A 27,316-nucleotide genomic window follows, 5' to 3' on the forward strand; every position below is an offset into this window, starting at 1 on the left:
TCCGAAGCACATCCTCCTTATCTGAGGCCCAGGTCCCCAGAAGCCACAACCAGAGCCCTCAAAGGTGGTGGCCCAGCCTCCCCTCCCCCAAGATTCTCCTTAGCAGTGTGGGAAATGGCACCTCCCTCCTCCTCAAACTCCTTCCTGGCCTGGCCATTCCCAGGCCTGGTGCTTTGCTCATCCTCTGTCTGTGTCCCAGACAGTGGCCCTGCCCCCTCTTCTCAGTGCTTCTACCCGATCTGCTCTTCCTGCCTGCAGACCTGCAGGAACAGAGACCAAGGAAGGGTGGTGAGGTCATTCTGCCCCCCACACCCACAGACCCGGCCTTACATTTCCCACCACATCCCACCCCACCCCCTGCTGCGATCCACCCAGCTGGGTGTGAGTCAGGGGCCCTGGGGAGGTGGAGGGCTGCCTGCCTCCCCTTCACTCTGCTCCTCCCAGTGCAAACACCCAGGATTCAGCAGGGAGGAATGGCCAGGACAGGAGACACTGATAGATTGGGAGCTGGTGGGGCTGTCCCCGGGGCTTGGTCTGGCTGCAGTGGAATCTGCCTTTGGCCTTGTTCCAGGTGCTTTCAGATGCAGCCTGTGCCAGCAGGGTGAGGAGCTGGCCTGGGGAGTCCTGGGAGAAGTTTAGTTAGGGCTGGAGCAGCATGAGGGGCTGCAGAAGCAGGGGCCCAGTGGGGCTGGAGAGAGATGACCCGCTAGGGGCCTGTAGCTTTCCTGGGGCTGGGAGTTGTGGCCAGCCTGAGCTGGGAGCACCAGTGGGTCCAAGGGCACCCTGGACCTGCATCCCTGACCTCCCAAAGTGTTCCTGGGGCTCCCCCGACTCCTGTGGTGTGGCTGCCACGGAGCAGGGTGGCTGCTGGTCAGTGGGTAGCATAATGACAGGGTGAGACGACTCCACCCGGCCCTGACCCTGCTGAGGAATGTCTGAGCTCCAGCAGGGTCGTGACTTGTGGGTACAGATGGGCATGCCACCCACTCCCTGCCCACTGTCCATGAGACGCTCACCCTTACTTTTCTCCCTCTTCTTCAGGGGCATCTTCCTGGATACCATTGTCCCCAAGTATGAGGTGAACGGGGTGAAACCTCCCATTGGCCAAAGGACACGGCTCAGCAAGGGGGACATTGCCCAAGCCCGCAAGCTTTACAAGTGCCCAGGTCAGGGCAGAGAAGGGATGGGTGAGGGCGTGGAGGGCAGGGCCTGAGGGAGGCAGAGGCCAGGTGCCTGGTGCCACCAAGAAGGCTTAGGCTGCAAGTCTTAGAGAATGGTGTGGCGGGGGAGGGGACCCCATAGGAGGGGCAGTGTCCAAGTGAAGGAGGCCGCTGGGGGTAGGCTCAGGTGGGTGGTCAGAAGCCGAGCCGCCACCTTCTGAGGGTCTGTAGGGGCGGAAGTGGGGAGAACAGCAATCCTAGGAGAGGGAGGTGGCACGGAGCCCCACCAAGGGAGCTTGACCTTAGCTCTGGAACCCATATTGCCTTCACAAACAGGGCAGCACTGGGCTGGGAGGTAGGATGGCGTGTGCTATATGTGAGGTAGGGGGGTGGATCTTATAGGGGCAGGACCATTGCAGACACCCTCCCACTCCTCAGGCATTCTCCCCTCCCCCAGAGGATGCCAAGGTTCAGGGGTGGGTGAGCCAGAAGATGGGGGGATTTGGCGCCTGCAGCCCTGCCCTGTCATTTCCTTTCCTCACAGCCTGTGGAGAGACCCTGCAAGACAGCACAGGCAACTTCTCCTCCCCTGAATACCCCAATGGCTACTCTGCTCACATGCACTGCGTGTGGCGCATCTCTGTCACACCCGGGGAGAAGGTACGTGTGGGCTCAGCCTCTGAGCCTCCCCCTCCCCTGCGGGTCCCCATACCTCAGGGACTTCTCCCACAGTGGGGGTCAATATGGGTGCCAGCGACCTACCTGGCTACCGTAAATGTATCAAGTCCAGAGCGCTGATGGAGCACGGCTGTAGGAAGGGGCTCCTGGCATTCACCGCCTTCCCTGGCATCTCCCAATAATTATAAATTAGTGTTAATTTGCACATAGCACTTGCTGTGTAGGTCTATTTTGATTATCTAGTTCTTCTTGGGTGATTTTCCTACATCACCTCTTTTAGTTTTTACGGCTACCTCCACCTTTATTTTACAGATGAGGAAACTGAGGCACAGGGTGGTTAAGTAACTTGCCCAAGGTCACACAGCTAACAAGGACTGAGGTGGGACTGGAGCTCTTCTCAGGTCTGGGTTCCCTTGGATGAACTGCTCAGCCTGACGCTCAGCTCTCATCCGTCTCATCAGGGCTTGGGCCAGGGGCTCCTGAAGGGCTCTTCCCGATTCTGACAGGCTCTAGTCCTGGGAACAATTAAGGAATGATGCAGGCGCCTCCAGCAGGATGCTGCCTGGTGGGTCTCTCCTTCTCACCCATCCTTCCCCTTGCTCAGGCCAGGACCCTCCAGTCTTTGCTCTGTGGGCCTGATTTTCTGTGCCTGGCTCTCCACTGGCACTCTATTTCTCCTCCCTCTACCTGTCACCTGCTATATCAGTTCTGATCCATAGAGAAAGCTCAGCTCCACCTTCTGTCTTACCTTGTGGGGAAGTACCCAGTTCTCATACTTGCTGCCACGTGGGGCTGGCTTCGGGCATACTACGGGATCGGGTCAGAGCTGTCTCCATCTTCACAGTCTAGCTCGGATGTGACCTCCTTCAGGAAGCCTTCCCTGCTCGTTACTAATTGGTGGCAAGTAGGGTGGACACCGAGTGTGGGGAGGGCCCCCGAGCCTGTCCGGTCAGGTTTCCCACTGCATGGTTGATTAGCCCTGTTTGAATACCTAAGGTGATGAGAGGCTCACTACTTTTCAGAATAATTCATTCTGTTCTCTAGCCAGCTCTTTTTTTTTTTTTTTCTTGAGACAGAATCTCACTTTTTCACCCAAGGTGGAGTGCAGTGGCGCGATCTCAGCTCACTGCAACCTCTGCCGCCCAGGGTCAAGCGATACTCCCACCTCAGCCTCTGGAGTAGCTGGGACTGCAGATGTGCGCTACCATGCCCGGCAATTTTTTTTCTATTTTTGGTCGAGACAGGGTTTCGCCATGTTGCACAGGCTGGTCTCGAACTCCTGAGTTCAAGTGATCCTCCTGGCTCAGGCTTCCAAAGTGCTGGGATTACAGGCGTGAGCCACCGCATCTGGCCTGTAGCCAGCTCTTAATGTTACAACGTCTCTTCTTCTCCCTTAAGCCCCCCAGTTGCTCCAGTACTTTCCTCAAGAGCAATGCAGGATAACTCACTCCCTCTTTCCCATGTCAGCCCTCCTAATGTGGGGAGGCTACTCCCATCACTTCTTAGATCCATTCCCGGTCTTTTCACACAGACTCTGGACCTCCGCACCAACCCCAGACCTTCTGTGTCCATATTTTTATTGCTCCCAAGCTACAAGACTTTATTTTCCTTGATTGGGGCATGGTTCTTAATGTCATAGTGCAGCGTTGAGCTGGATTCAATTCTATTATTGATTGCATTGTTCATTTCGACATCTCAAGATCATTTTGAATCAGAATTTCACCATCCATCAGGTAGCCCTCCTCTTACCTCTGCCATGAGCTCCTTTGATAAGCATGACTTCTAGGTCTTCGTCCTGGCCTTTGATCAAAACATAGAACAGCACACAAACCAAAGAAGAACCAAGATTTCCCTCCAAATTGGCATTAATCTTTTAATCTAGGCTTTGAGCAGAGTTATTACACCAGTTATGATGCCACTTAAGGTCATTACTATCCAGCCACAGGTGACCACCAGTTGACCGGGATGTACGCTCCTTCTGAGACCATACCTTGGTCATCTTTCTGTCGTTGGCCCAGGAAGTGTTTCATAAATGCTGAATACGTAAGATGCAATGCCTTACCAAATTAAATCTACTGTTCCACCCGTTGACAAAACCCCTTTTAAAAGGAAGACAAATGTGTTCGACCTGCCTTGTTTTCAGTGAACCCAAACTGGCTCCTAGTAATCAAGTGTTTCTTTTCTAAATGGTCACAGACCATCTGTTTCACTGGGGATTGACGTTTGGCCCAGTGGTTTGCAATTCCCAGAATCCGCTCCTTACTCTCCTCCCAGCACACACACCCCTTTGAAGATTGGGAAAGCTTTTACTCTGAGTCCTGCAGATTACACATGCTAATCACATCTGCAAATTATTTGAGTGTCTCCTCTGATTTAATTGATGAGCTTGGAGACAAAAACCAATGTAGAGAGGTGCTCATGGGCTCTCCTCCTTCTATGTTATTGAGCTTCTATTTCCTTTTCAAACAATGCTTATTTTCATTTGTTGTAATTTGAAGATCATTCTTACGTGGACAGATTTTTATTGAGAGTTGAGTAATTCTGGCTTCTCTCTTGGTTGATATTCTACCATCTTCCCTTAAAAGTGAACCCATTCTTCCTTGTTCTGAATCTCACTTAAAAAATGGCAGTTCTGGCCAGTATATGGCCCATGCCTGTAATCCCAACACTTTGGGAAGCTGAGGCAGGAGGATCACTTGAGGCCAGGAGTTTGAGACCAGCCTGGCTAACATAGCGGAACTCCATCTCTACAAAAAATTTTAAAAATTAGCTGGGTGTCTGGTGGGTGTTGGTAGTTCCAGCTACTCGGGAGGCTGAGGTGGGAGGATTGCTTGAGCCTGGGAGTTCAAGGTTGCAGTAAGCTATGATTACGCCACTACACTCATGCCAGGGGGGCAGAGCGAGATCTTGTCTCAAAACAACAACAAAAAATTACATTCCTTTTTTGCTGTTTTCTACCAGCTATGCCTTGGCTTCCTTTGTTTCCCTCTAGAGGGTTCCCATTACTCCATCCTTGGGAAATCTCACCCACCGATAATAATAGCAATAACTAACAATGATTGAATATTTGATTGAGCAGGTATGTGTTAAATTATTATTATTATTATTATTATTATTATTATTGAGACGTGTTTCATTCTTGTTGCCCAGGCTGGAGTGCAATGGCACGATCTCAGCTCACCGCAACCTCCTCAGCCTCCTGAGTAGCTGGGATTACAGGCATGTGCCACCACACCCGGCTAATTTTGTATTTTTAGTAGAGACGGGTTTCTCCATGTTGGTCAGGCTGGTCTCGAACTCCCGACCTGAGGTGATTCGCCTGCCTCGGCCTCCCAGAGTGCTGGGATTACAGACGTGAGCCGCCGCGCCTGGCCATGTTAAATTCTTTATGTGTGTTATGTCCAACATTATCGTACAGCAACACTATGGGCCAGATGCTAACATTATCCCTGTTTTGGATATGAGAAACCAGGCTTGGAAAAATTTAGTAACTTCTCCAAAATTACACAAAATTGGATTATGACACAAGAGTTGGTGATTTCAATACTATGTGTGTTCTAAAGCCCTGCTGCATTTCAACAATTACTTTAGTGCTCTTCAGCAAACCTGTGTGCCTGCTATGTGCCCAGCACTGGGTCAGCCACCAGGGATGTACAGATGCACAAGACGGTCCCTGGCCCTGAGCAGTGGAGTCAGGTGGCACGCTACTTACCTTCCTGTCCGGGAGTTTTTGCAATCGGCTGGGGTATGGCATTGGGCTAGGATCAGCTTCCTTCCCTGTTCTTCCTGGCTGGCCTGGGCTAGCACTAGTCTCTCTAGTGGACGCACATGGCCTTGCCCCAAAAGCATCTCTCTCTGCCTTGGGGCTGCTCCCGCTGCAATTCCCAGAGGACTCCTGTCCTTTTTTTCAGAAGCTTGCCTGGAGCTGCAGAAAGAGAAAAGGGCTAACTATAAAAATTCCAGATTAATCAACGCATGGTTGTAGAAGTACACGAAGTAAAAACCAGCCACAGTCCTGAATGAAATTGGAGAGTTGTAAGGGAAGCCAAGTGGCACCCTGGGGACGTGAACATTGAAAGGGCCTGCAGAGCCTGGTGTAGTAGAATACTAACAGCCTCTCTACTGTTTAACAATCAGGTACCACGGAAAGCATTAGGCACCTTACATGCCGGACCTCGCTATTCCCCATAACACTTTTACAACCTAGGTACCATTATCCCTACTGTACAGCCAAGAGAATGGAGGCTTCAAGCGCTTGAGTAAATCTACCCAAGTTTACACAGGTAGTAGTGGTGAAATTGGCATTTGGTTCTAGGACTTTCTGACTCCAAAGTCTATGGCCTTTCAAAGGTAAACCTGAAATAATGCCGCCTGCTTTAGTGGATGGACTTTGCCGTCTATTTTGGCTGTGGGGAAGTTGTTTTTCATTTGCCTCCCAATTCTCAGCTTATTGCCAGAAATGTGAATGATAGGTAAATCTTGCCATATATAATTGATTCTGCCTGTCATGGGTATGTCAAAGTAAAAGAGCCACCTGGAAAGCCTTCTTTTTGGATCCCCCAAGTCTACACTCTTGTAATTAGCAGCTGGCGCGGAGAGGACTGACAGTGTTTCCCCAGCAACGGAGGAGAACCTTTATGAGGAGGAGACGGTTTTAAGAAGGGAATCAGCCGGGTGCGGTGACTCATGCCTGTAATCCCAGCACTTTGGGAGGTCGAGGCGGGTGGATCACTTGAGGTCAGGGGTTTGAGACCAGCCTGGCCAACGTGGTGAAACCCTGTTTCTACTAAAAATACAAAAATTAGCTGGGCATGGTGGTGCATGCCTGTAGTCCCAGCTACTCAGGAGGCTGAGGCAGGAGAATCGCTCGCTCAAACCCGGGAGGTGGAGGTTGCAGTGAGCCAAGATCGTGCCACTGCATTCCAGCCTGGGCAACAGAGTAAGACTCAGTCTCAAAAAAGGAAAAAATAAAAATAAAAATAAAAAAAAGAAGGGAATCATGGTCAGAGGATCAAACATTTGCAGAGGAGCCAAGAAGATAAGAACTTTTGGAGCTGGCAATATCCGCCCTCATTCCCATCCCTGCCTCCTGATATGCTACGTGTTCTTCAAGGTCCAACCCAAATTCTTTTTTTATTGAGACTGAGTCTCACTCTGTCGCCCAAGCTGGAGTGCAGTGGCACGATCTCAGCTCACCTTGACCTCTGCCCCCCGAGTTCAAGCAATTCTTCTGCCTCAGCCTCCCGAGTAGCTGGGATCACAGGCACCTGCTATCGCCCCTGGCTAATTTTTGTATTTTTAGCAGAGACAGGGTTTCACTGTCTTTCTTTTTTTTTTTTTTTTTTTTTTTTGAGACGAAGTCTTGCTCTTGTCCCCCAGGCTGGAGTGCAATGACACGATCTTGGCTCAATATAACCTCCGCCTCCCGGGTTCAAGTGATTCTCCTGCCTCAGCCTCCCCAGTAGCTGGGATTACAGGCGCCTGCCACCACGCCCGGCTAATTTTTGTATTTTTAGTAGAGACAGGGTGTCACCATGTTGGCCAGGCTGGTCTCGGACTCCTGACCTCAGGCGATCCGCCAGCCTGGGCCTCTCAAAGTGCTGGGATTACAGGCGTGAGCCACCACGCCCGGCCCAACCCAAATTCTTAATACCTTCCCCGACTTCCACATCCCCAGCCAGGCCAAAGGGATCCCTCCCTTCTCTGCAAAGCCTGTGCTGGATCCTACCCTAAGTTCCTGCTTCTTGAAGGGTGTGGGGCTCTGAGGATGAAAATGGACACTTGTCCTTAGCACAGCTGCTGAGCAGAGTTGCTTGGCAGGCCCAGGGAGGCCATGTGGAGGATTGGAGGAGGGTATAACTTTAAGAGCCAGAGTGCCTGAGTTTGACTCGCAGCTGTGCCACGTACTGGCTGTGTGGTCTTGGGGAAGTTGCTTAACCTCTCTGTGCCTTTGTTTCCCCGTCTATCTATATATATATTTTTTTGAGATGGAGTCTCACTCTGTTGCCCAGGCTGGAGTGCAGTGGCATGATCTCGGCTTACTGCAACCTCTGCCTCTGGGTTCAAGCAATTTTTCTGCCTCAGCCTCCCAAGTAGCTGGGACTATAGGCACGTGCCACCATGCCTGGCTAATTTTTGTATTTTTAGTAGAGACAGGGTTTCGCCATGTTGGCCAGTCTCGTCTTGAACTCCTGACCTCAGGTGATCCTGCCTCAGCCTCCCTAAGTGCTGGGATTACAGGCGTGAGCCCCCATGCCTGGCCTGTTTCCCCAACTATAAAATGAGCCTGGCAATAGTACCTACCACAAGGGGGATACTATCAAGTTTGATCTGCTAACCGTGATTCCCTTCTTAAAACCGTCTCCTCCTCATAAAGGTATGAGGATTAAACAAATTAATATACATAAAGTCCCTGGAGTAGTACCTATCATGTAGTGAGAACCCAACCAATGTTAACTGCTGCTATCTTTCCTATATTCCTAATCTTTTAATTTTATTTAATTATTTTATTTTATTTTTTAGAGACAGAGTCTTACTCTGTTGCCCAGGCTGGAGTGCAGCTCACTGCAACCTCTGCATCTCGGGTTCAAGTGATTCTCATGCCTCAGCCTCCCAAGTAACCGGGACTACTGGCACGTGCCACCACACCCGGCTAATTTTTATATTTTTAATAAAGATGGGGTTTTGCCATGTTGGCCAGGCTAGTCTCAAACTCCTGACCTCAGGTGATCTGCCCGCCTGGGCCTCCCAAAGTGTTGGGATTATAGGCGTGAGCCACCACGCCCAGGCCAGCCCCTAATCTTTTATTTATTTTAATTAATTAATTAATTTATTTATTTATTTATTTTGAGATGGAGTCTCGCTCTGTTGCCCAGGCTGGAGTGCAGTGGCATGATCTCGGCTCACTGCAAGCTCCGCCTCCCGGGTTCAGCCATTCTCCTGCCTCAGCCTCCTCAGTAGCTGGGACTACAGGAGCCCGCCACCACGCCCGGCTAATTTTTTTTTTTTTTTTTTTTTTTTTGTATTTTTAGTAGAGACAGGGTTTCACCGTGTTAGCCAGCATGGTCTCGATCTCCTGACCTCATGATACGCCCACCTCAGCCTCCCAAAGTGCTGGGATTACAGGTGTGAGCCACCGTGCCCGGCCCCCAGCCCCTAATCTTTTTAAATGAGGAAATCCTGGTCCACTTCCCCAGGGACGCTATTTCTCTCTAATTCCAGGATTCTAGTCTGAGCCATTCCAAATACCAAAAAATCTTAAGCAAACTTCATTCTACTAGCAAAGTTAACATTTATTGAGTGCTTACTGTGTGTTGGGCACTTGTAAATTTTACACGTATATGAATTGAACTCCCCTAAGTCTTGGGAGGCAGATAGTATCATCATTACCCTCTTAGAAATAAGGACACGGAGGCACAGAGGAACTGGTTGATGGGCCTAAAGATCATGCGGCAAGGTCAGATTGAAGCCAGACAGTGAGTCACCAAGGGGCAACATGTTTAACTGGCACACTGTGGCCAGAAGAGAGGTGTCCTATTACTTCTCCCCTGCCAGCATGCAGCAAGCATGAGGAGTATTTCCTATATTCGGGGTGCACCAGAAGACTCTGTACCCCATATCTCATTGAATCCTCCCAACTCCCCAGTGGAGCCATTATGATCATTTCCAGTTTTGGGTTTTTTTTTTTTTTTTTTTTTCTGAGACAGAGTTGCTCTGTTGCCCAGTGGTGTGATCATGGCTTATTCCAGCCTGGACCTCCCTGGCTCAAGTGATCCTCCCACCTCCATCTCCTGAGTAGCTGGGACCACTGGCATGCGCCATCATGCCCGGCAAATTTTTAAATTTTTTTGTAGAGATGGGGTCTCACTGTATTGCTCAGGCTGGTCTCAAACTCCTGAGCTCAAGCGATCCTTCCGCCTCAGTCACCCAAAGTGCTGGGATTACAGGCATAAGCCACCGCACCCGGCCCCATCTCAATTTCAGACAAAAACACTGAGCCTTAAGGAAGCCGAGCCACAGGCCCAAGTCACCAGCCCGGAAGCGGTGGGGCAGGCCAGGTTTTCTCTGGCAAAGGGCATTGCCCCTGCCACCAGAGCACAGCTGTTTCCACACGACAGAAGCCAGTACAACTCTTAATTTGACACCTCTGGTCTCAGTATAGCCATCACTGGGCCTCTCTGTAGGATGCCTCTCTTGGCCAATGCAGGTTTCTTCCTCCTGAGCGATGTGACCTCTGGTTCCTCCTACTTCTTTGGAGCTCTCGGGTGGGCCCTCTGGGGTTCTGCCGGCTGGGCGTGGTTTCTTCCTCAGCAGCTGTGACGTCATCCTCCCCAGACAGAGCCAAGGCTGCTTCTAAGGATGAAGGAAAGCGGGCGCTTGTCCTCAGCACAGCTGCTGAGCAGAACTGCCTGGCAGGCCCAGGAAGGCCACGTGGAGGAGTGGTGGAGGGTGTGAGTCAGGAGCCAGAGCGCCCTCACTCGGCCCTCTGCATCCCTTCTTCCACCCAGCAACTCTTGTTTTTGTTGTTTGTTAGATATACAAATAACATATGCACACAGTAAACTTTTTGAACAATCTAGCAATGCATAAAATAACAAGTGAAATTTCTCCCCTTGACCCTCCTCCGGATCCCATTCCTCAGAGGTGACTAAGCATTGGTAACACTTTCTGGTGTCTCCTTCCAGACCCTTCTAGGTATATATGTGCATGTAAGCATGGATGAGTATATATGTATGTATATATATACAAGACAAAAAGGAATTGTATGCACACGTATATGGTCTTTTGCAACATACCTTGCACTCAGCAATGAATTGTGGTCGCCGTTCCATGCCAGCACTCAGTCATTTTTATGGCTGCTTAGAATACTATCGTCTTGATTTCTCTCAATTTAATTATTCAGTTGCCCCCTGAGGTCTCTATTGATGGAGATACACACACACACACACACACACACACACATATCTTATATATTATATAATATATAATATAAATAATAAAACCAAATTTCCATTCAGTGAGCCAGTGCAATCCCGGCTCACTGAAGCCTCAGCCTCCTAGGCTCTGGGGATCCTCCCACTTCAGCCTTCCTGGTAGCTGGAACTACAGACACATGCCACCATAGCTGGCTAATTTTTTAATTTTTCTAGAGATGGGGGTCTCACTGTGTTGCCCAGGCTGGTCTCAAACTCCTGGACTCAAGCGATCCTCTTGCCTCAGCCTCTCAAAATGCTCAGTTACAGGTATGAGCTACCATGCCTGGTCCACATTTGGTAATGAGATGCCATCTACTCCCTCGCAAGAGCTAGAATGGACTTGCATCTTCAGAGTTTCAAAATGCCAGGACTTATAATAGTAACAATAACTTTTGATGATGATAATAATAACCAAGAGTAATATATAGTGTGCTTTTCTTTATTTTATTTTATATTTTTTTCGAGACAGAGTCTTCCTCTGTCACCCAGGCTGGAGTGCAGTGGCATGATCTAGGCTCACTGCAACCTCTGCCTCCCAGGTTCAAGCGATTCTCCTGCCTCAGCCTCCTGAGTAGCTAGGATTACAGATGCCCACCATCACACCTGGCTAATTTTTTTTTGTATTTTTAGTAGAGATGAGGTTTCACCATGTTGGCCAGGCTGGTCTTGAACGCCTGACCTCAAGTGATCCACCTGCCTTGGCCTCCCAATGTGTTGGGATTACAGGAGTGAACTACCGCGCTTGGCCTGTAGTGTGCTTTTCAAAAACATGATCTTACTCAATTATATCACAGAATACCACAATTAATAAAAGGTCCCCCAAATAAATATAGTTAAACTCATATATGAATTTTTAAAAAGAATAGAAGAAAAAGGATGGGCTGTGGAGCTAAGCTGGGTAAGGAGAGAGAGTAGATGGGGGTGACCGGCAGTGGCATTGCCCTGGGTGCAGTGGGTTGAAAGTCGCAGTGATGAGAACTGACGGAAAGGCTGGAAACTGAATGGAGAGTGGGGCCCTTGAAACTGAGATTATGGAGGGGCAGACAATTTTCGATGAAGCCGGCCTGCACGGCGTGACGTGTTGGTGTGTGGCCGGGAAGGTATAGAGAGGTGGAGAGAGGAGGTCGCAGAACTGAGCGGCCAAGAAGTGGGAAGGGTCCTCTAGGCGGACATTGGAATCACCAGGTATTCTGATAGGGCCCGTGTCAGAGTGACCAGGAGCCAGGAGCTCCTCCCCGACTAGCATTGATGCTGGCTACAGACAGCCACTGCCAGTGCCCACCTTGGAATCTTTTTCATCCTGGCCTCCACTCTGCCTCTAACTCTCTAAGAAGGTACAAGGGAGGCAGACGGTCCCCTTCTCTAGCAGAGAACCCAGCTCTCCCAGAGCAGGACACCCCTGAAACCATCGAGTGTCCGCTGCACTGGCCTCGCAGGTCACGGTGAACACATCCCTGGAATCCCTACTTGTTGGAACTCTGAATACACAGCAGGCTTTGGGCCCACTCTGGGACCTACCGAGGAAGTGGTTTCCCCCCGGAAGTGGAGGGAAGCCATTAAACTCTCTACCTGTTAAAATGCCCACCTGCTAAGGAGGATTGGTACTTACCAAGATGTAACATTCCTCCAGTAGCGAGCGAGCGTTTCCTGAGCTTGGAGCCTGAAATGAGGTGCTCAGGACAGACAGTGCCTGTGCCTTGGAAGTGTGATGTCAGGGTAGGGACTCTTCTCCCCATTGCACGCAGGACATAGCAGAGGCTCAGAGGTTGCGTGGTTTGCTTGATGACTCACAGCAGGAAATGCAGAGTGGAGATTCACACCCAGGCTGTTGTGACTGGGGTCTGAGCTTTCTCACGCGTATGTCTCATCCCTCCCTAAGCCTGGAGCTTCTTGAGGACAGGGACGGATTCAGATCTGGTGTCCTTTCAGCAGTTAGTGTGTCCCCCTGCCCAGAATCAGTACTCAATAAATGATGATGGGGCCGGGCACAGTGACGCACTCCTGTAATCCCAGCACTTTGGGAGGCTCAGATCGGAGGATGGCTTAAGCCTGGGAGGTGGAGGCTGCAGTGAGCTGTGATTGTACCATTGCACTCCAGCCTGGGTGACAAAGCAAGACCCTGACTCAAAACAAACAAACAAACAAAAAAGTGATGATTGGCGACTCAGCCCTTCTTTCCTCTTGCCTCTCCTCTTGGGACCCTTCGTCGCTACTTCAGACCCTCCAGTACCCTCACGCGGCCCTTGGCCCTTCCTACCACTGTAGAGACCAGTTCCTCTTGAAGATATTGTGGGTTGTGTTATCTAATTGACTATGAAGAGAGCTGGAGCCAGGGGTTCTACCCAAAGTGACGTCTCCTTCCCCTCCTGGGCCTTCTAGGAAGAAAGCTGACCATACACAGACAACTGTGGAGGAGGGGCGGTTCTGTGCCAGGAGCTCCTTTTGGGAGCCCCTTAACTCTCGCCCAGGGGGACCTGCCTCGCGTAAGGCGGGCGGTGGTCATCATGGGGCTGGCAGAGGGCTGGTGCAATGTTCGGGACAGCTTAACCCTCTTCCTCCCCTGTTGCCCTAGATCATCCTGAACTTCACGTCCCTGGACCTGTACCGCAGCCGCCTGTGCTGGTACGACTATGTGGAGGTCCGAGATGGCTTCTGGAGGAAGGCGCCCCTCCGAGGTAACGGCACCAGCCACCCCCTGCCCCCTCCATGCTGATTCCCTCTCTGAGCCACCCTCATCACACTCTTCATCCCCCTCCAGGGCCCAACACTGGCCAGGGATGACAACCTGGTATGGGAGCCAGGAGTCCTGGCATCATTAGTCCCAGATAGCTGCATTACTCACTTGCTGCGAGACTTCAGGCAAGTCCTGTCCTCAATCTGGACTTCAGAGTACCCAGTCCAGACTTCTGGGCCTCCCTGTGAAGTTGGCTGTCACCCTACGGGTGCAAGGAGTCATCAGAATTGACTGAGAGAGACAGACAGGCTGTTCTGCGCATCCCCATGGCCCCAGGCTCTCTTCCTCATCTGGGCACTTTCAGAGGATCCACTATTTTTTTCTATCTGCCCTTCTGGTTTTTGAGTGCCCACAGTGCAGCCTGGCTCAAAAGAGAGTCATCATAACCTGCCAGCCCATCTCCTAACTCACTGCCGAGGGCTGCACACTGGGCGCCGTGGCCCGACCTTGTCTGCATAGGATACTTTGTCCCGAGGAGGGTAGGGGGCAGGAGGTGAGTCAGTGGGAGTAAGTGGGTCAGAAGCACAGAACAGAAGGTGCTTTAATGAACCTAGAATTAGGGCAAAGGGAGGCAGGTGATCCTAGAGGGTATTGCAGCAAGCCCGAGGAGCCGTGTGAATCTCCTCCTAGCTGGACGTGATCGTAAGGAGCTCAGGACCACTCTTTGGCAACAGAACCTCTTCTCCTCAGCCTATGCCTAAAACAGCCAGACGGATATTGCTAACCTCTATTTTCCCCCCAGTTTCCGATATTTAAATATTTCTTTTTGGTCACTCAAAGCAGCTGTCCTTACAACACTTCCTCTCGTAGACGTGTTAGTGTTTTTCCAAGATGGGAGTTTCTTTTTCATAACTTACATTCCTGGGCCAGCACCCTCTGTCCCTTGCTGAATGTTGGGAAACACCGGCCTTATTAGGAACACACAACTCATTCCTAGTTGATTCTTGACTACAAAGAATTCCACAGATGGCCGACCTCATTCACTTATGTTGATTCTTATTCATTTTTATTTCAAAGTGGACATTTTGTGAGCTAGTCCCCAGATTCTGTGATTTATTTAGGGTCCTGGGGCATCCCTTGCATTTGACCAAATAAAAACATGTCTGTGAGGGCAGTTTGTAATGTGTAAAGAAAGCCATGTTTATTTCTGATTATATTTCTGATTTTATTTCTTATTTGGTCTCTTCTTTGCATAGAGACCAAATAAGAAAAGGTAAATAATGATGGTAATATGCTCTTTAGAAAGGTAAATAGAACACATATATAGTTGGACATTATAAAGATCTACCTTGGCCAGGCACGGTGGCTCACACCTGAAATCCCAGAACTCTGGGAGGCCAAGGTGGGTGGATCACCTGAGGTCAGGAGTTCGACACCAGCCTGGCCAACATGGCAAAACCTCATCTCTACTAAAAATACGAAAATTAGCTGGGTGTGGTGGCAGATGCCTGTAGCCCCGGCTACTTGGGAGGCTGAGGCAGGAGAATTGCTTGAACCCAGGAGGCAGAGGTTGCAGTGAGCCAAGAGCGTGCCACTGCACTCCAGCCTGGGTGACAGAGCGAGACTCCATCTCAAAAAAATAAAATAAGATAAAATGAAAAATAAAGATCTACCTTTCCTCCTAGAAATAGACTCATATCCTATCCCTCAAGTGGTCTCTGGCTCTCCAAAGCCAAGTTGGACCTTGGACCAGACAGAAGCCAACCAGAGGGTATACAGTCTTGGGAATGTGTGAAGTAGGGTGGCCACAGATCAGGGCCCAAGCACCCAAGCCTCCTGGAGAGGTGGGGCCTCTATAGGGGGTGTCCTCAGGGTTCACCACTCTTCCATCCACACTGTCTGTGCAGGCCGCTTCTGCGGGTCCAAACTCCCTGAGCCTATCGTCTCCACTGACAGCCGCCTCTGGGTTGAATTCCGCAGCAGCAGCAATTGGGTTGGAAAGGGCTTCTTTGCAGTCTACGAAGGTACTGAGGAAGGCGGCGGGCGGGAGGAGTCAGATAGGAGGTCTCTGGGCATGGTAAAACAACTCCCTCCTGGCACCTGAGGGGCAAGATTGTGGGTTCCCAAGGGAAGAAGCAGAGAGAATGATGGGATTGCCTGGGACTGGGGGTTTGGTGGGGAACTGAAAAGCTGGGGGACATGGGAGGGACTGGAGGAGTGGGGAAAAGAGCTCCCTAGCAGGGCAAAGCATGCTGACTCACCACCCCTTCCCACCCCATCCTGTGTCCCCACAGCCATCTGCGGGGGTGATGTGAAAAAGGACTATGGCCACATTCAATCGCCCAACTACCCAGACGATTACCGGCCCAGCAAAGTCTGCATCTGGCGGATCCAGGTGTCTGAGGGCTTCCACGTGGGCCTCACATTCCAGTCCTTTGAGGTAGGTCAGTGGCCCTGTGATCTGACCTTTGAATCCAGCAGTTGCTCCCTGGGACAGCTGCCTCTCTTTGGGCTCCCAGGGGTGGGTCTCTGGCAGCCAGAGCCCCTTCCACTGATGAAGCCTCGACCCCTAGATTGAGCGCCACGACAGCTGTGCCTACGACTATCTGGAGGTGCGCGACGGGCACAGTGAGAGCAGCACCCTCATCGGGCGCTACTGTGGCTATGAGAAGCCTGATGACATCAAGAGCACGTCCAGCCGCCTCTGGCTCAAGTTCGTCTCTGACGGGTCCATTAACAAAGCGGGCTTTGCCGTCAACTTTTTCAAAGGTGCCTCCTCTGTTACTCTCCCCTGCCCCAAGGTGCCTCGTGACCTTCATCCCTTCTTCACTCACTCATTCAACACGGAGACTCCAGGAGGCATATTGATACCAGTGAGACCCCAGGGCTGTGCCCTTAAGGAGCTCTGGGCTAGCTGGGGAGAAGAGGTCCCCCAATGTGGATTAGAGGCAGGACCTGCTGTATGATTCAGGGAGGAAAAAAGGCAGTTGGAGGTTTTTTTTACCTGTGTGACCTTGGGCAGGATATTCTCCCTGAACCTCAGTTTCTCATCTGTAAAATGGGCACAGTAACAGTCCCTCCGCCACAGGCTTCACATGAGGATTGAAGGAGAAATGAAAGAGGGGTCCTTAGTCAGGGAACAGCACGTGAGAGACACCAGCCCAGTCCATGTGCTCTGAAGGAAGGCTCTGTGGGGTTCCAGCCATCGGGGAGCTGGGTGGGTCTTGGGGCTGAGTGGACAAGTGAGGCTCACAGCCAGCTTCTTCCCTTGAATGCCTGGAGTCTGTGACACCCTTTCCTTCCCACCACAGAGGTGGACGAGTGCTCTCGGCCCAACCGCGGGGGCTGTGAGCAGCGGTGCCTCAACACCCTGGGCAGCTACAAGTGCAGCTGTGACCCCGGGTACGAGCTGGCCCCAGACAAGCGCCGCTGTGAGGGTGAGTGCCCCCAGACTGCCTCTGACCCTGTTCTTTCCCTGGCACCAGCCCACCTGCCCAGAATTTTTTTTTTTTTTAGACAGGCTTTTGCTCTGTCACCCAGGCTGGAAGTACAGTGGCTCAATCTTAGCTCACCATAGCCTCCCATTCCTGGGCTCAAGCAATCCTCCCACCTCAGCCTCCCAAGTAGCTGGGACTACAGGTGCACATCACCTTGCCTGGCTAATTTTAAAATTTTTTTTGTAGCAATGAGGTCTTACTTTGTTGCCGAGGCTTGTCTCAAACTCCTGGCCTCAAGTACTCCTCCTGCCTCGGCCTCCCAAAGTGCTGGGATCACAGGCTTGAGTCACTGCCAAGATTTCTTATGCCCTTGGACAGACCCCTTCTTGGAAAAGCTAGATGGATACCCCAACACTCTTTTCATAGCTCATGGATAAGAAACACATGTCACATTGCAACCCCGAGAACACACTGTCCCCCCGTAGGCCGCATTCTGGCTTTGGGTTTGTTTTGTTTTTTCATTCTTGGGGTGTTTTCGGGTTTTTTTTGTAAATGACCATCTTGACTTGCTAACTGATATCACCACCCACCAGGGTGTTATGATCTACAGGTTGGGAAACCCCTGTTGTGGGACAGACACTGTTTCCGCCTCTCCACGCATGGTCCCGAGATGCTGGGGACAGCACTCCGAGGCTAATGGCTCCAGCTCACTAGGCCGATCCTGCTGTGCCCCCGAGCTGCTCCCTTTCCTGCACCTCCCAGGACCGCCCCTCCCTGAACTGCTTTCCCTGAGCCCCTTATTCCCGCTCACTCCCTCTTGGAGGACCTTGGCCTGTTCATTTGCAGAGAAGATAGAAATGGCCACACTTATGACCCCTTAGCTCCCCCACTCCTCCCTACAGGCCCACCCCTGAGGACACCCAGGCCACCCTGCCTCCTCCCGTCCGCCCCAGAGGGACCAGACACAGGTCCCTGAGCCTTGGGGAGTCCACAGGCTCCCCATCTTCTCCTTACTGCATCCCAGCCCACATCTCAGCCCTTCCCCATGGCAGGGGCTCCCCGCAGACGATGCCACCTTCCTTGTCCCCGCAGCTGCTTGTGGCGGATTCCTCACCAAGCTCAACGGCTCCATCACCAGCCCGGGCTGGCCCAAGGAGTACCCCCCCAACAAGAACTGCATCTGGCAGCTGGTGGCCCCCACCCAGTACCGCATCTCCCTGCAGTTTGACTTCTTTGAGACAGAGGGCAATGATGTAAGTGCCCACCAGGGGCTGAGGTGGGGCAGGAAGCTGTGAGGCGTGGGCATTCAGCTCAGTGCCTGCTTCCTGTCCTCTGAGAGGGGGCCCGGCAGAAACACTCTGCAAATATCGAGGAGAGACTGCTCCCAGCTCACGAAGCACAGGAGGCCCAGCAGGGAGGGCCCCAAAGGGGGCGGGGGGACATGTAGCAAGTGGGAGGAAGGACATGGAGTTAGGGAGGCGTGTGGAGCAAGGGAAGGCTTAGGGCTGGCTTGGCGAGTACAGGAGGATCCAGTGAGGGGGCGTAGCTAAGTCAAGGCTAAAGGATGTGCAGAACAGAGAGCTTCCCGAGGGCAGGAGTAGTCAAGAGAGGCTTCCTGGAGGAGGCGGGCCTGGAGCTGGGCTTCCCTGCAGGTGTGCAAGTACGACTTCGTGGAGGTGCGCAGTGGACTCACAGCTGACTCCAAGCTGCATGGCAAGTTCTGTGGTTCTGAGAAGCCCGAGGTCATCACCTCCCAGTACAACAACATGCGCGTGGAGTTCAAGTCCGACAACACCGTGTCCAAAAAGGGCTTCAAGGCCCACTTCTTCTCAGGTATCCCTGGACTGCCCAGCTCCTAGCCCCACCTCTCCTCGGAGAACAGGGCTCCCTTTCTCCCTGCCCCTGCACCCCTGTACTCCCCAGCCCTCCCTGGTGCCAGGCAGGCAGAGTCTGCCCCCTGCTCCCCACCACTTCACTCTCCCATCAAGCCAGCCCTTCCAGTATCCAAATCTCATTATTCCTGAGCCCTCAGGACTGTAATGACTGGGGCCTGAGGATGGGCAGAACATAAGCATTCAGAAATCAGCACCCAGAAGTGAAGAAGGGGATATTCCAGGTGTCAGGAGCTATGCAAGCCAAGGCCTGGGAGAGGGCAGGTCCTAGGAACAGGCAGTTCAAGAACGTGGGTGGATGGAGGAGAGACAGGTGTTTGCCTTGGACTGTGTGGAGCAGAGTCTCTGGCAGTGGCGGACTTCTAATCAGACCCTGCACACGCCAAATAGGTTCACACTGGGGCCTTCAGAAAGATGAGTCGTGGCCGGGCGCGGTGGCTCACGCCTGTAATCCCAGCACTCAGGAAGGCCGAGGCAGGAGGATCACTTGAGCCCAGGAGTTCAAGACCAGCCTAGACAACATAGCGAGACCCCATCTCTATAAAAAAGTTTAAAATTAGCAGGGTGTAGTCGTGTGTGCCTGTAGTCTCAACTACTTAGGAGGCTGAGGTAGGAGGATTGCTTGAGCCCAGGAGTTTGAGGCTGTAGTGAACGATGATCTCGTCACTCACTCCAGACCCTGTTTCTAAAAATTTTTTTAAAAAGGAGAAAGATGAGTCACCTGCTTCCTTCAATACCAAAGCCTTGGGGCTCCCCTGAACCGGTGGGCGGGAACTCAGATCCAATTAGCACATGCTGATTGACAGCTGCCCCACCTAAGGCCTGGGCTCCAGTCCCTTGGCCTCATTTGAGCCTTTGATGGCCCCATCTTCAGGTGGTCTCAATGGTGATCAGCAGCCCCTGGCCCAGCCTCTCTCAGCTGATCCTCCGGGTCCAGGAGATCTCCCCTTCTTTGTGAATCACTCAGCCCTTCACCCTGGGGTGAGGCTGTAAGGTAGCTGGTGGTCTCCAGAGGTAACAGGACCCAGGCCCATGCAGTGAAGGGCAGGAGTGGAGTTGAGCAGGGGAGACAGGGAGGTCAGAGTCTGGCTGGAGCAGGCCCATGGATCCTCACTCCCGGCCTGCCTGCTGGGCCGGACAGGGGATAGGCAGGAAGGCAGGATGCCCACGGCCGAGTCCATGCTGCCTTCCTTCTCCCCTCCTTCGCCCAGGGTCCTGCATCCTCAAGCCCCCTCTGTGGCTGCCCTGCACCCCTGCCTGACCCCCGGATGCCATGCACCTGCCCCTGCACTGGCTCCCTGCTTGGCACTGCCAGCCACCCTGCTCTGCTTACAGTGGCCCGTTGACCTCCTGCCCCCAACCCCCGCTTGCTGAGACCCTCCCCATGCCAGGCCAATTTCTTCCTTCCCTGTGCCCACCTGGGACTCCTAAGAGGTGCTCACCAGAGGGTTGAGAGGATGTAACACCCACTCGGGGCAGGCTCTGCCCCGGGAAACCATTACCTGCTTACTCTCGTCTCTTCCTGCCCTTCTGTTGCTCCAGTCTTGGAGGGGGCAGGGGACCGACACTCACATCTATCAGGCCTGGAGTTACTGCTCTGCCCCCATGCCCTGGTCGACACTGTGCCCGCCCCACCCTCAGCCCTGCACGGAGACACACACGCCCACACGCACACACATGTGCACACACATTGCCCCATCGCACAAGAAACCTGCAGAGGACCCCCACTGGGGGCATCGAGGCTCAGCCCTCAGGGCCCGGGGCATCTGACTCTGGCCCCCCAGGAGGGGAGCTATTTGGACTTTTGGGACACCCACCGAGGAGACCCTAAGCCAAGAAGGAGAAGAAAGAGCCTGAAGACCTTCAGTCTGACCCCTGCCACCTTCCGGGGCATTTGGGCACTGTAGGGTGAGTGCCATCTCCTTGCCTGGGCCCATGCCCACCTCCTCCACCCCACCCCCCTGCAACCTGCTCCCCCCAGCTCCCAGGTGAGGCTGCCCACTCCTGCCCCGGACACTGAAGCAGCCTTCCTCAGGACTCACTTTCCCCCACTCATTCATCCAGCCATTCACTTACGCGTTCACTCGCATTTGGCAGGTGTAATTTTACCCCTGCTGTGTACCAGGCACTGGACTAGGTTTCTAGGGCACAAATGTGAGGAAGGGGTGGAGCGAAGGCTTTGCTCAGTCCGTAAGCTGGGCCCCCCAAAGCTTCTAGCACAGTCACTGGAGATGTTGTCCTTAGTGAACCCCAGGATGGCTCATAGGGTGCCCTTCACCCCCACATTTTCTGCAGGGCTGATTCAAAGGCAGCTCATGGAGGGCTCTCGATCAGGCCCCCTCTGATGTGTTAACTGAGCAAGAAACCTTGGGAAGGACTTGGGGACTCCACCTCTTGGCCTGGTTCCCATGGCCCCTAGGGGTCTAACCTACCTGATCCTGGGTTGGAGAAGCAGGACCTTCTGGAAGCCCATGTTCCAGCGCTTGGGCCCCAGTCCTGATGGGGATCAGGAATAGGCCCCCTTGCACAGACCCCCACCTGGCCAGCTCAGTGCCAGCAGACATCTTTCTACCTCATGGTTCATCTATGGAATTCTGGGGGTCCACTGGATCCCTCATCTTCCCTGGCTATGCCTGCTTCTATGCCAGGCACACCATCCTCCAAGTGACCACAGACAGACCTGAGTGTATGTGGCTGCGGCACACACACCCCTGTGACCAAGTGCACTTCTGTGCATTGGGGCACAGATTGTGTGTTCATCGTGTGAGTGCATGTGTGGGTCTGTGACACGTGGCCGTTGCTCCTCTGTGAGCCATCTGCTGATGAGCTACATCTCTGCCTTTACGCGTGACTTTGTATCCATGTCCAGGTGTCCATGCGCCTGTGTGTGCAGATGTGTCCTGTCCCTGGGTGTGTCTGTGCCTGTGTGTGCGTTGATATCTGTGCCTGCCTCTTCACACATAGGTGGGAATGCAGAGTGTGTATTCTTTGTATGCACCTGTACACAGGCTGGGCGGGCAAGTGAGGATGCGTATGTGGTTGGCTGTGTCTGTATCTGCATTTGCATGGTGTATTGGAGATTGGAGCTGTGTGTCTGTGCGTGTGTGGGTAGTGTGTACCGTGTGCACATGTATGTGTGTGCCTGTGGACCAGCACCTGTGTTGCCACATTTGGGTGACGGTACATCCATGCACTGGGTCTGCAGGTGTATTTGCGAGTGCGTGTGTCTGTCTAACACACTCTGTAGATGTCGCCGCCTGAATGAGAGCCAGAGCAGAGCTCTCCCCAGCCCTTCCCAAGTACTGTTCCCCTCTACCGACGACTCCCCAGTTCTCTCCTTCCCTGATGCAATGCACGCCTAGTGGGCTACGTGTGCCAACCCTCCAGGCCTTCTCCTGCCACAGGCTCTGTCTCTGTCCCGTCGCTGTGCCTCCTGCCCCTGCTAACCCAGCCCTCCGTGCCCTGGATGCGCCCGGACATGGCCACCCTGCATGTGTGTCCGCCTGCCCTCCCGCCCCACCCTGCCCCTCAGATCCACCTCAGAGGCCCTGGGTCTGGTTTTCACTGCTGTCCCTCCCTGGTCCCTGCCCTCCACCCCCACCCCTTGGTCCCTTTTCTCCTTCTCTCTCTCGTTTCAGAAAAGAGGCCAGCTCTGCAGCCCCCTCGGGGACGCCCCCACCAGCTCAAATTCCGAGTGCAGAAAAGAAACCGGACCCCCCAGTGAGGCCTGCCAGGCCTCCCGGACCCCTTGTTACTCAGGAACCTCACCTTGGACGGAATGGGATGGGGGCTTCGGTGCCCACCAACCCCCCACCTCCACTCTGCCATTCCGGCCCACCTCCCTCTGGCCGGACAGAACTGGTGCTCTCTTCTCCCCACTGTGCCCGTCCGCGGACCGGGGACCCTTCCCCGTGCCCTACCCCCTCCCATTTTGATGGTGTCTGTGACATTTCCTGTTGTGAAGTAAAAGAGGGACCCCTGCGTCCTGCTCCTTTCTCTTGCAGTCTGCTTGTCCATGTGTCTATTTTTCCACTTGTCCATCTGTCCAGTAAGCAGGTAATGGTGACCCATGCTGGTCCGCTCGGACCCCCATCCTCCTCTCCCCACAGCTGGGCCCTGCTCAGCTGGTCCTGCTGGATGCAGTGCCCCTTTGGACCCCCTTGTCGCCTGGCCTCCCACTCCCGGCCACCTGGCCTGGCCAGCTCTGCCAGCTGTTGCTCTGTCCCGGTGGGAGAAAGTCCAGCCAGGCCTCCACTTCCCCTGGGGCATCCCAACCTCAGCCCTGCACAGACCCAGCGTCTGCCCTTATTTGCTCCCCTGCAGACAAGGACGAGTGCTCCAAGGATAACGGCGGCTGCCAGCAGGACTGCGTCAACACGTTCGGCAGTTATGAGTGCCAATGCCGCAGTGGCTTCGTCCTCCATGACAACAAGCACGACTGCAAAGAAGGTACGGGCTGCATGCCAGGGGCATCTGGGCTTGAAGGACCTGCTGCTGGGAGTGGAAGCCCAGAGGATCATCTCCATCAGCCTCCGTTTAGATTCTGGGGCCTGTATGATCTCTAAGGCCCCCTCATTCCCCCACCCACCTGGTACATAGATCCTCCTCCCGCAGTGTCGGAGCCACACGCTCACTTCTGTTGCCCACATTAGGAGAGGAGGAGCTCACGGCTGCTCTGAGGCTTCATTTTCAGACTTTTCTAGTTTGTGCTTCTTAAAACCATGTCCAAGTCTCTTTGTGACTTCCTACCGGCACAGAGGCGAGAAAGGATAGTGGGTAAGAGCACAGCCTCCAGAGCCAGGTGGCCTGGCCCAGCCCTGCCGCTTCACTAGCTGTGTGCCTTTGAGTGACTCCTTGACCCTCTCTGTGCCTTGGTTTGCTCCTGGGTAAAATGTAGATAATAATAATAGTACCCACCTCAGAGAGGCATTGGGAGCTTGAAGGGCCCCAAGCAGGGCCTGGCTCACCGCAAGCACAATGGCATCTGTTACCACTATCAGTCACACTTATAACCCCTGGGGATGGTCAGAACAGGGCCACTGCCTTCCTGGCAGTGAAGCCCTGCACACATTTAAAAATAGCTCTAGGCCGGGCACGGTGGCTCATGCCTGTAATCCCAGCACTTTGGGAGGCCGAGGCAGGAGGATCGCTTGAGCTCAGGCATTCAAGACCAGCCTGAGCAACATAGTGAGACTCTGTCTCTATTTTACTTTTAAACAGGTTTTTAAACTAGAAATAAAGTAAAATAGGCCAGTGCGGTGGTTCACACCTGTAATCCCAGCACTTTGGGAGGCTGAGGTGGGCAGATTGCGTCAGCCCAGGAGTTTAAGACCAACCTGGGCAACATGGCGAAACCCCATCTCTACAATAAATACAAAAAATTAGCTGGATGTGGTGGTGCATGCCTATAGTCCCAGCTACCCTGGAGGCTGAGGTGGGAGAATCACCTGAGTCTGGGGAGGCTGAGGCTGCATGAGCCGAGATCACACCACTGTACTCCAGCCTGGGTGACAGAGTGGGAAAAAACAAATAAAAATATAAATAAATAAATAAAGCAAAATAAAAACAGCTCTCATGGCATCACCAGTATCCCCTAATACCTCCTGGGACTTGATACCTCACAGGCCCGCTCTAAGTCAGGGATTCCACTGTGGCCCTTGCCTGCTGGGTGTGTCCAATCCCAGCAGCACAACACAGACTTGCCTCTACCATTGAACATCTGTGTGACTTTGGGTGAGTCACTCAACCTCTCTGTGTTTCAGTTTCCTCATCCATGAAACGATAAAAAATGATAGGCCAGGTGCAGTGGCTCACGCCTGTAATCCCAGTACTTTGGGAGGCCAAGGCGATCGGATCACTTGAGGTCAGGAATTCAAGACCAGCCTGGCCAGCGTGATGAAAACCCGTCTCTACTAGAAATACAAAAAATTAGCCAGGCGTGGTGGGACGCACCTGTAATCCCAGCTACTCAGGAGGTTGAGGCAGGAGAATTGCTTGAACCTGGAAGGCGGAGGTTGCAGTGAGCCGAGATCATGCCATTGCACTCCAGCCTGGGCAACAGAGCAAGACTCCGTTTCAAAAAATAAAAAATAATAAAAATGATACCTACCTTGCAGGGTACTAAGCTTTATAGACATGGCTCTGAGCCATTAGCACCATGCTTGGCAAGTGACTCTTCCCACCCTGGTTAGGTTGACAACCCAGGTTTAAACAGATGAGCTGCTCACAAGCAGAAACAGAACCGAAGCCCTCAACAGTGAACCAGTGGACAGTCGAGGGCTTCCAACCCTGTGACCTCAGGCTTCCCAAATACACAGTTCCTGAGTCATGGAACTAGCTAGAGGGGACCTTATACTGATATTGTCTAAACTGCATTCTGTCTCTGTACTCCCCTGTGTAAAAAGATGGTTTGATAAAGAACAGAATCCACAAGATAGCCAGGACAGGGGTGAAGCTCCTGGAGAAGATGGCCTGTTTACCTTTCCATCTGCTGATTCACCTTAGAAGCATGTGTGGTTTCTTACTCAGGTGATAGGTTAATTACAGATCTGTAAGCATTTCCTGATTCCTATGGAGGACCCAGCACTATGCAAAGATCTGTAGGGGATTCAAGACAGGAACCCCTCTGTTCCCACGGAGATTGCAGCCTAGCTGGGGAGAGACATGGGCGTGCAAGGAACACAGGGGGCGTGGAAGGCCAGAGCGCAAAGAGGGAGGGCAGGGGGCTGTGTGAACCCACCGATGGGTAATGGTGACAGCTCACGGTTCAAGTGTGGGTAGACGGGAGCTTCACCTGCCTCTACCAGGGACTTGAGAGGGCCCTGTTTTCCGGGCCCTCGTGCTGTATCTTGCCCATCCTTCTCCCCACCAGTCATAGTGCCTGGCCGCCTGTTTCCCCCAGTGAAAGCTGTCCAATAATGTCATCATGAATAATGATCATCAGCTTGTAAATCTGAGTCGGGGCAGGGCGTGGTGGCTCATGCCTGTAATCCCAGCACTTTGGGAAGCTGATGGGGGCAGATTGCCTGAGCTCAGGAGCTCAAGACCAGCCTGGGCAACATGGCAACACCCGTCTCCACTAAAAATACAAAAAATTAGCCAGGCGTGGTGGCGCAAGCCTATAGTCCCAACTGCTTGGGAGGCTGAGGCACAAGAATCGCTTGAACCTGGGAGGCAGAGGTTGCAGTGAGCCAGGATCGCGCCACTTCACTCCAGCCTGGGCAACAGAGCAAGACCCTGTCCCCCCCCACCCCGCCCGCCCCCGCAAAAAGAAATTGAGTTGGGGAAGCCATGCTTTTCAGAGGCAGAAGTCAGATTGCCGTGGATTGAGGAGACCTGCCGTGAGAGTGTGGCCATAGCGAGTGTTCTCGAAGGCTAGCTGGAAACAAAAGGAGAGCGATGGGCTGTAGCTGGAGGGGCCTGGGAGAGCTCTTTCAGGATGTGTGAAGGTTCCGAGGCTGCAGAGCTGAGTGAGAGCGTGAGGCTGGATCATTTGTGGTGTGAGGGTTCCCACGCGTGGGCAGCAATGAGCTGCACCTCCCAGAAGGGCAGTCCATCCTGACGGGGAGGAGGGACACTTGCTCTGAGGCTTCAGGGCAGCAGGGTAGCAGGGTAGGTGGGTTTGCAGGTCGGAGTCCAGAGGTTGAAGCCATTCATGGTGGAAGGCCCTGGCTTTGTCAGGAGGTAGGAGAGAGGTGGTCTGCCACTGGGAGCTGACACAGTGGCTTGAGGAGGGGGCTGGATGTTTGCAGCAGTTACTAAGGAGGTGAGAGATGGAGCTGGTAAAGGCCAATCCAAAGAGTATCAAGTGGTCTGGGGGCCCAGGTGAGGCTGGAGCCACAGGTGGAGTTTTCTAAGATAGTGCTGTGCAGAGCCGGGGATGCAGGGCCACGCAGGGTGCAGAGGAGCAGGCTGGGTGGTCAGCCCTGCAGTCAGTTAAGTCAATCGAGGAGGAAATAGTGGGAGAGAATAGAAAGATCAAGACCCTGGAGGTCTCTCTAAAATTAAGAGGCCAGCCAGGCACAGTGGCTCATGCCTGTGACCCTAGCACTTTGGGAAGCTGAGGCAGGAGGATCGCTTGAATCCAGGAGTTTGACATCAGCCTGGGCAACATAGTGAGACCCCATCTCTACAACAAGCAAAAATGAAAAAAATTACCCAGGTGGCATGCCTGTAGTCCCAGCTACTTGGGAGGCTGAGGCGGGAGGATCAATTGAGCCTAGGAGCTCAAGGCTATGGTGAGCTATGATCGCACTACTGTACTCCAGCCTGGGTAGCAAAGTGAGGACCCATTTTTGTTTTTGTTTTTTAATTTTAATAAAGCCAAATGACCATGATCAGGAAGGTGAGGTCCTGAGCACCCCGAAGGAACAGGAGGTGGCCACAGAGGGGTGATGTGTTTGTGATGTGAAGAAACAGTGGATGATGACAAAGCCCTCAAGGAACCGAGAGGCCGTCTTGGGTGGACCGTTATATGTCTGTTGACTTCACCTGGGAGGGT

The 27,316-nt window shown here is 52.9% G+C and overlaps 1 protein-coding gene and 1 long non-coding RNA gene across 7 annotated transcripts in view, besides 7 other annotated features; one reads left to right on the top strand and one right to left on the bottom strand.

The window, feature by feature from the left end:
• BMP1 (bone morphogenetic protein 1) overlaps nt 1–27,316 on the top strand; it is a 46,955-nt gene that overhangs the window by 13,292 nt on the left and 6,347 nt on the right. For 2 of the 4 annotated variants that reach the window (NR_033403.2, NM_006129.5), the window contains exons 7-16: nt 1,042–1,166; nt 1,705–1,820; nt 13,386–13,488; nt 15,395–15,511; nt 15,782–15,927; nt 16,061–16,256; nt 16,799–16,924; nt 18,017–18,177; nt 18,577–18,757; nt 23,140–23,265. Coding sequence is in view for 2 of the 4 variants with exons in the window: in NM_006129.5 (NP_006120.1) it covers nt 1,042–1,166; nt 1,705–1,820; nt 13,386–13,488; nt 15,395–15,511; nt 15,782–15,927; nt 16,061–16,256; nt 16,799–16,924; nt 18,017–18,177; nt 18,577–18,757; nt 23,140–23,265 (1,397 nt within the window). In the remaining 2 variants the exon portion in view is untranslated. Of the gene's footprint in view, nt 1–1,041; nt 1,167–1,704; nt 1,821–13,385; nt 13,489–15,394; nt 15,512–15,781; nt 15,928–16,060; nt 16,257–16,798; nt 16,925–18,016; nt 18,178–18,576; nt 18,758–22,454; nt 22,820–23,139; nt 23,266–27,316 lie in introns of those variants that run through there. The other 2 variants (NR_033404.2, NM_001199.4) reach the window with 1 other exon arrangement.
• Nucleotides 9,113–12,932, bottom strand: LOC124901904 (uncharacterized). Of its 3 annotated transcripts, XR_007060850.1 has the most exons (3): nt 12,423–12,912; nt 10,634–10,756; nt 9,640–10,190 (listed from the first exon to the last, which is right to left on the bottom strand). It is a non-coding gene; the product is annotated as an uncharacterized LOC124901904 (long non-coding RNA). The 3 variants fall into 3 exon arrangements; XR_007060849.1 differs by lacking the exon at nt 10,634–10,756 and having other exon boundaries at nt 9,113–10,190; nt 12,423–12,932; XR_007060848.1 differs by having other exon boundaries at nt 9,113–10,756; nt 12,423–12,567.
• Nucleotides 9,989–10,489: an enhancer, noted in NCBI's record as "H3K4me1 hESC enhancer chr8:22046165-22046665 (GRCh37/hg19 assembly coordinates)". NCBI's record gives its function as "activates a minimal SCP1, AML or CMV promoter by ChIP-STARR-seq in naive H9 embryonic stem cells {active_cell/tissue: H9 hESC(naive)}" and the evidence as "EXISTENCE:reporter gene assay evidence [ECO:0000049][PMID:30033119]".
• Nucleotides 12,140–13,339: an enhancer, noted in NCBI's record as "BRD4-independent group 4 enhancer chr8:22048316-22049515 (GRCh37/hg19 assembly coordinates)". NCBI's record gives its function as "activates an origin of replication core promoter dependent on BRD2, P300/CBP, MED14 and CDK7 cofactors, and independent of BRD4, by STARR-seq in HCT116 cells {active_cell/tissue: HCT116}" and the evidence as "EXISTENCE:reporter gene assay evidence [ECO:0000049][PMID:35650434]".
• Nucleotides 15,713–16,007: an enhancer, noted in NCBI's record as "tiled region #2962; HepG2 Activating DNase matched - State 8:EnhW". NCBI's record gives its function as "activates a minimal TATA promoter and a strong SV40 promoter by Sharpr-MPRA in HepG2 cells {active_cell/tissue: HepG2}" and the evidence as "EXISTENCE:reporter gene assay evidence [ECO:0000049][PMID:27701403]".
• Nucleotides 15,713–16,007: a silencer, noted in NCBI's record as "tiled region #2962; K562 Repressive non-DNase unmatched - State 10:DNaseD". NCBI's record gives its function as "weakly represses a minimal TATA promoter and a strong SV40 promoter by Sharpr-MPRA in K562 cells {active_cell/tissue: K562}" and the evidence as "EXISTENCE:reporter gene assay evidence [ECO:0000049][PMID:27701403]".
• Nucleotides 15,713–17,087: a biological region, named in NCBI's record as "BRD4-independent group 4 enhancer GRCh37_chr8:22052064-22053263".
• Nucleotides 15,888–17,087: an enhancer, noted in NCBI's record as "BRD4-independent group 4 enhancer chr8:22052064-22053263 (GRCh37/hg19 assembly coordinates)". NCBI's record gives its function as "activates an origin of replication core promoter dependent on BRD2, P300/CBP, MED14 and CDK7 cofactors, and independent of BRD4, by STARR-seq in HCT116 cells {active_cell/tissue: HCT116}" and the evidence as "EXISTENCE:reporter gene assay evidence [ECO:0000049][PMID:35650434]".
• Nucleotides 18,343–19,110: an enhancer, noted in NCBI's record as "H3K4me1 hESC enhancer chr8:22054519-22055286 (GRCh37/hg19 assembly coordinates)". NCBI's record gives its function as "activates a minimal SCP1, AML or CMV promoter by ChIP-STARR-seq in naive H9 embryonic stem cells {active_cell/tissue: H9 hESC(naive)}" and the evidence as "EXISTENCE:reporter gene assay evidence [ECO:0000049][PMID:30033119]".

The sequence above is a fragment of the Homo sapiens genome, chromosome 8 (genome assembly GCF_000001405.40).
Source record: "Homo sapiens chromosome 8, GRCh38.p14 Primary Assembly".
Lineage (NCBI taxonomy): Eukaryota > Metazoa > Chordata > Mammalia > Primates > Hominidae > Homo > Homo sapiens.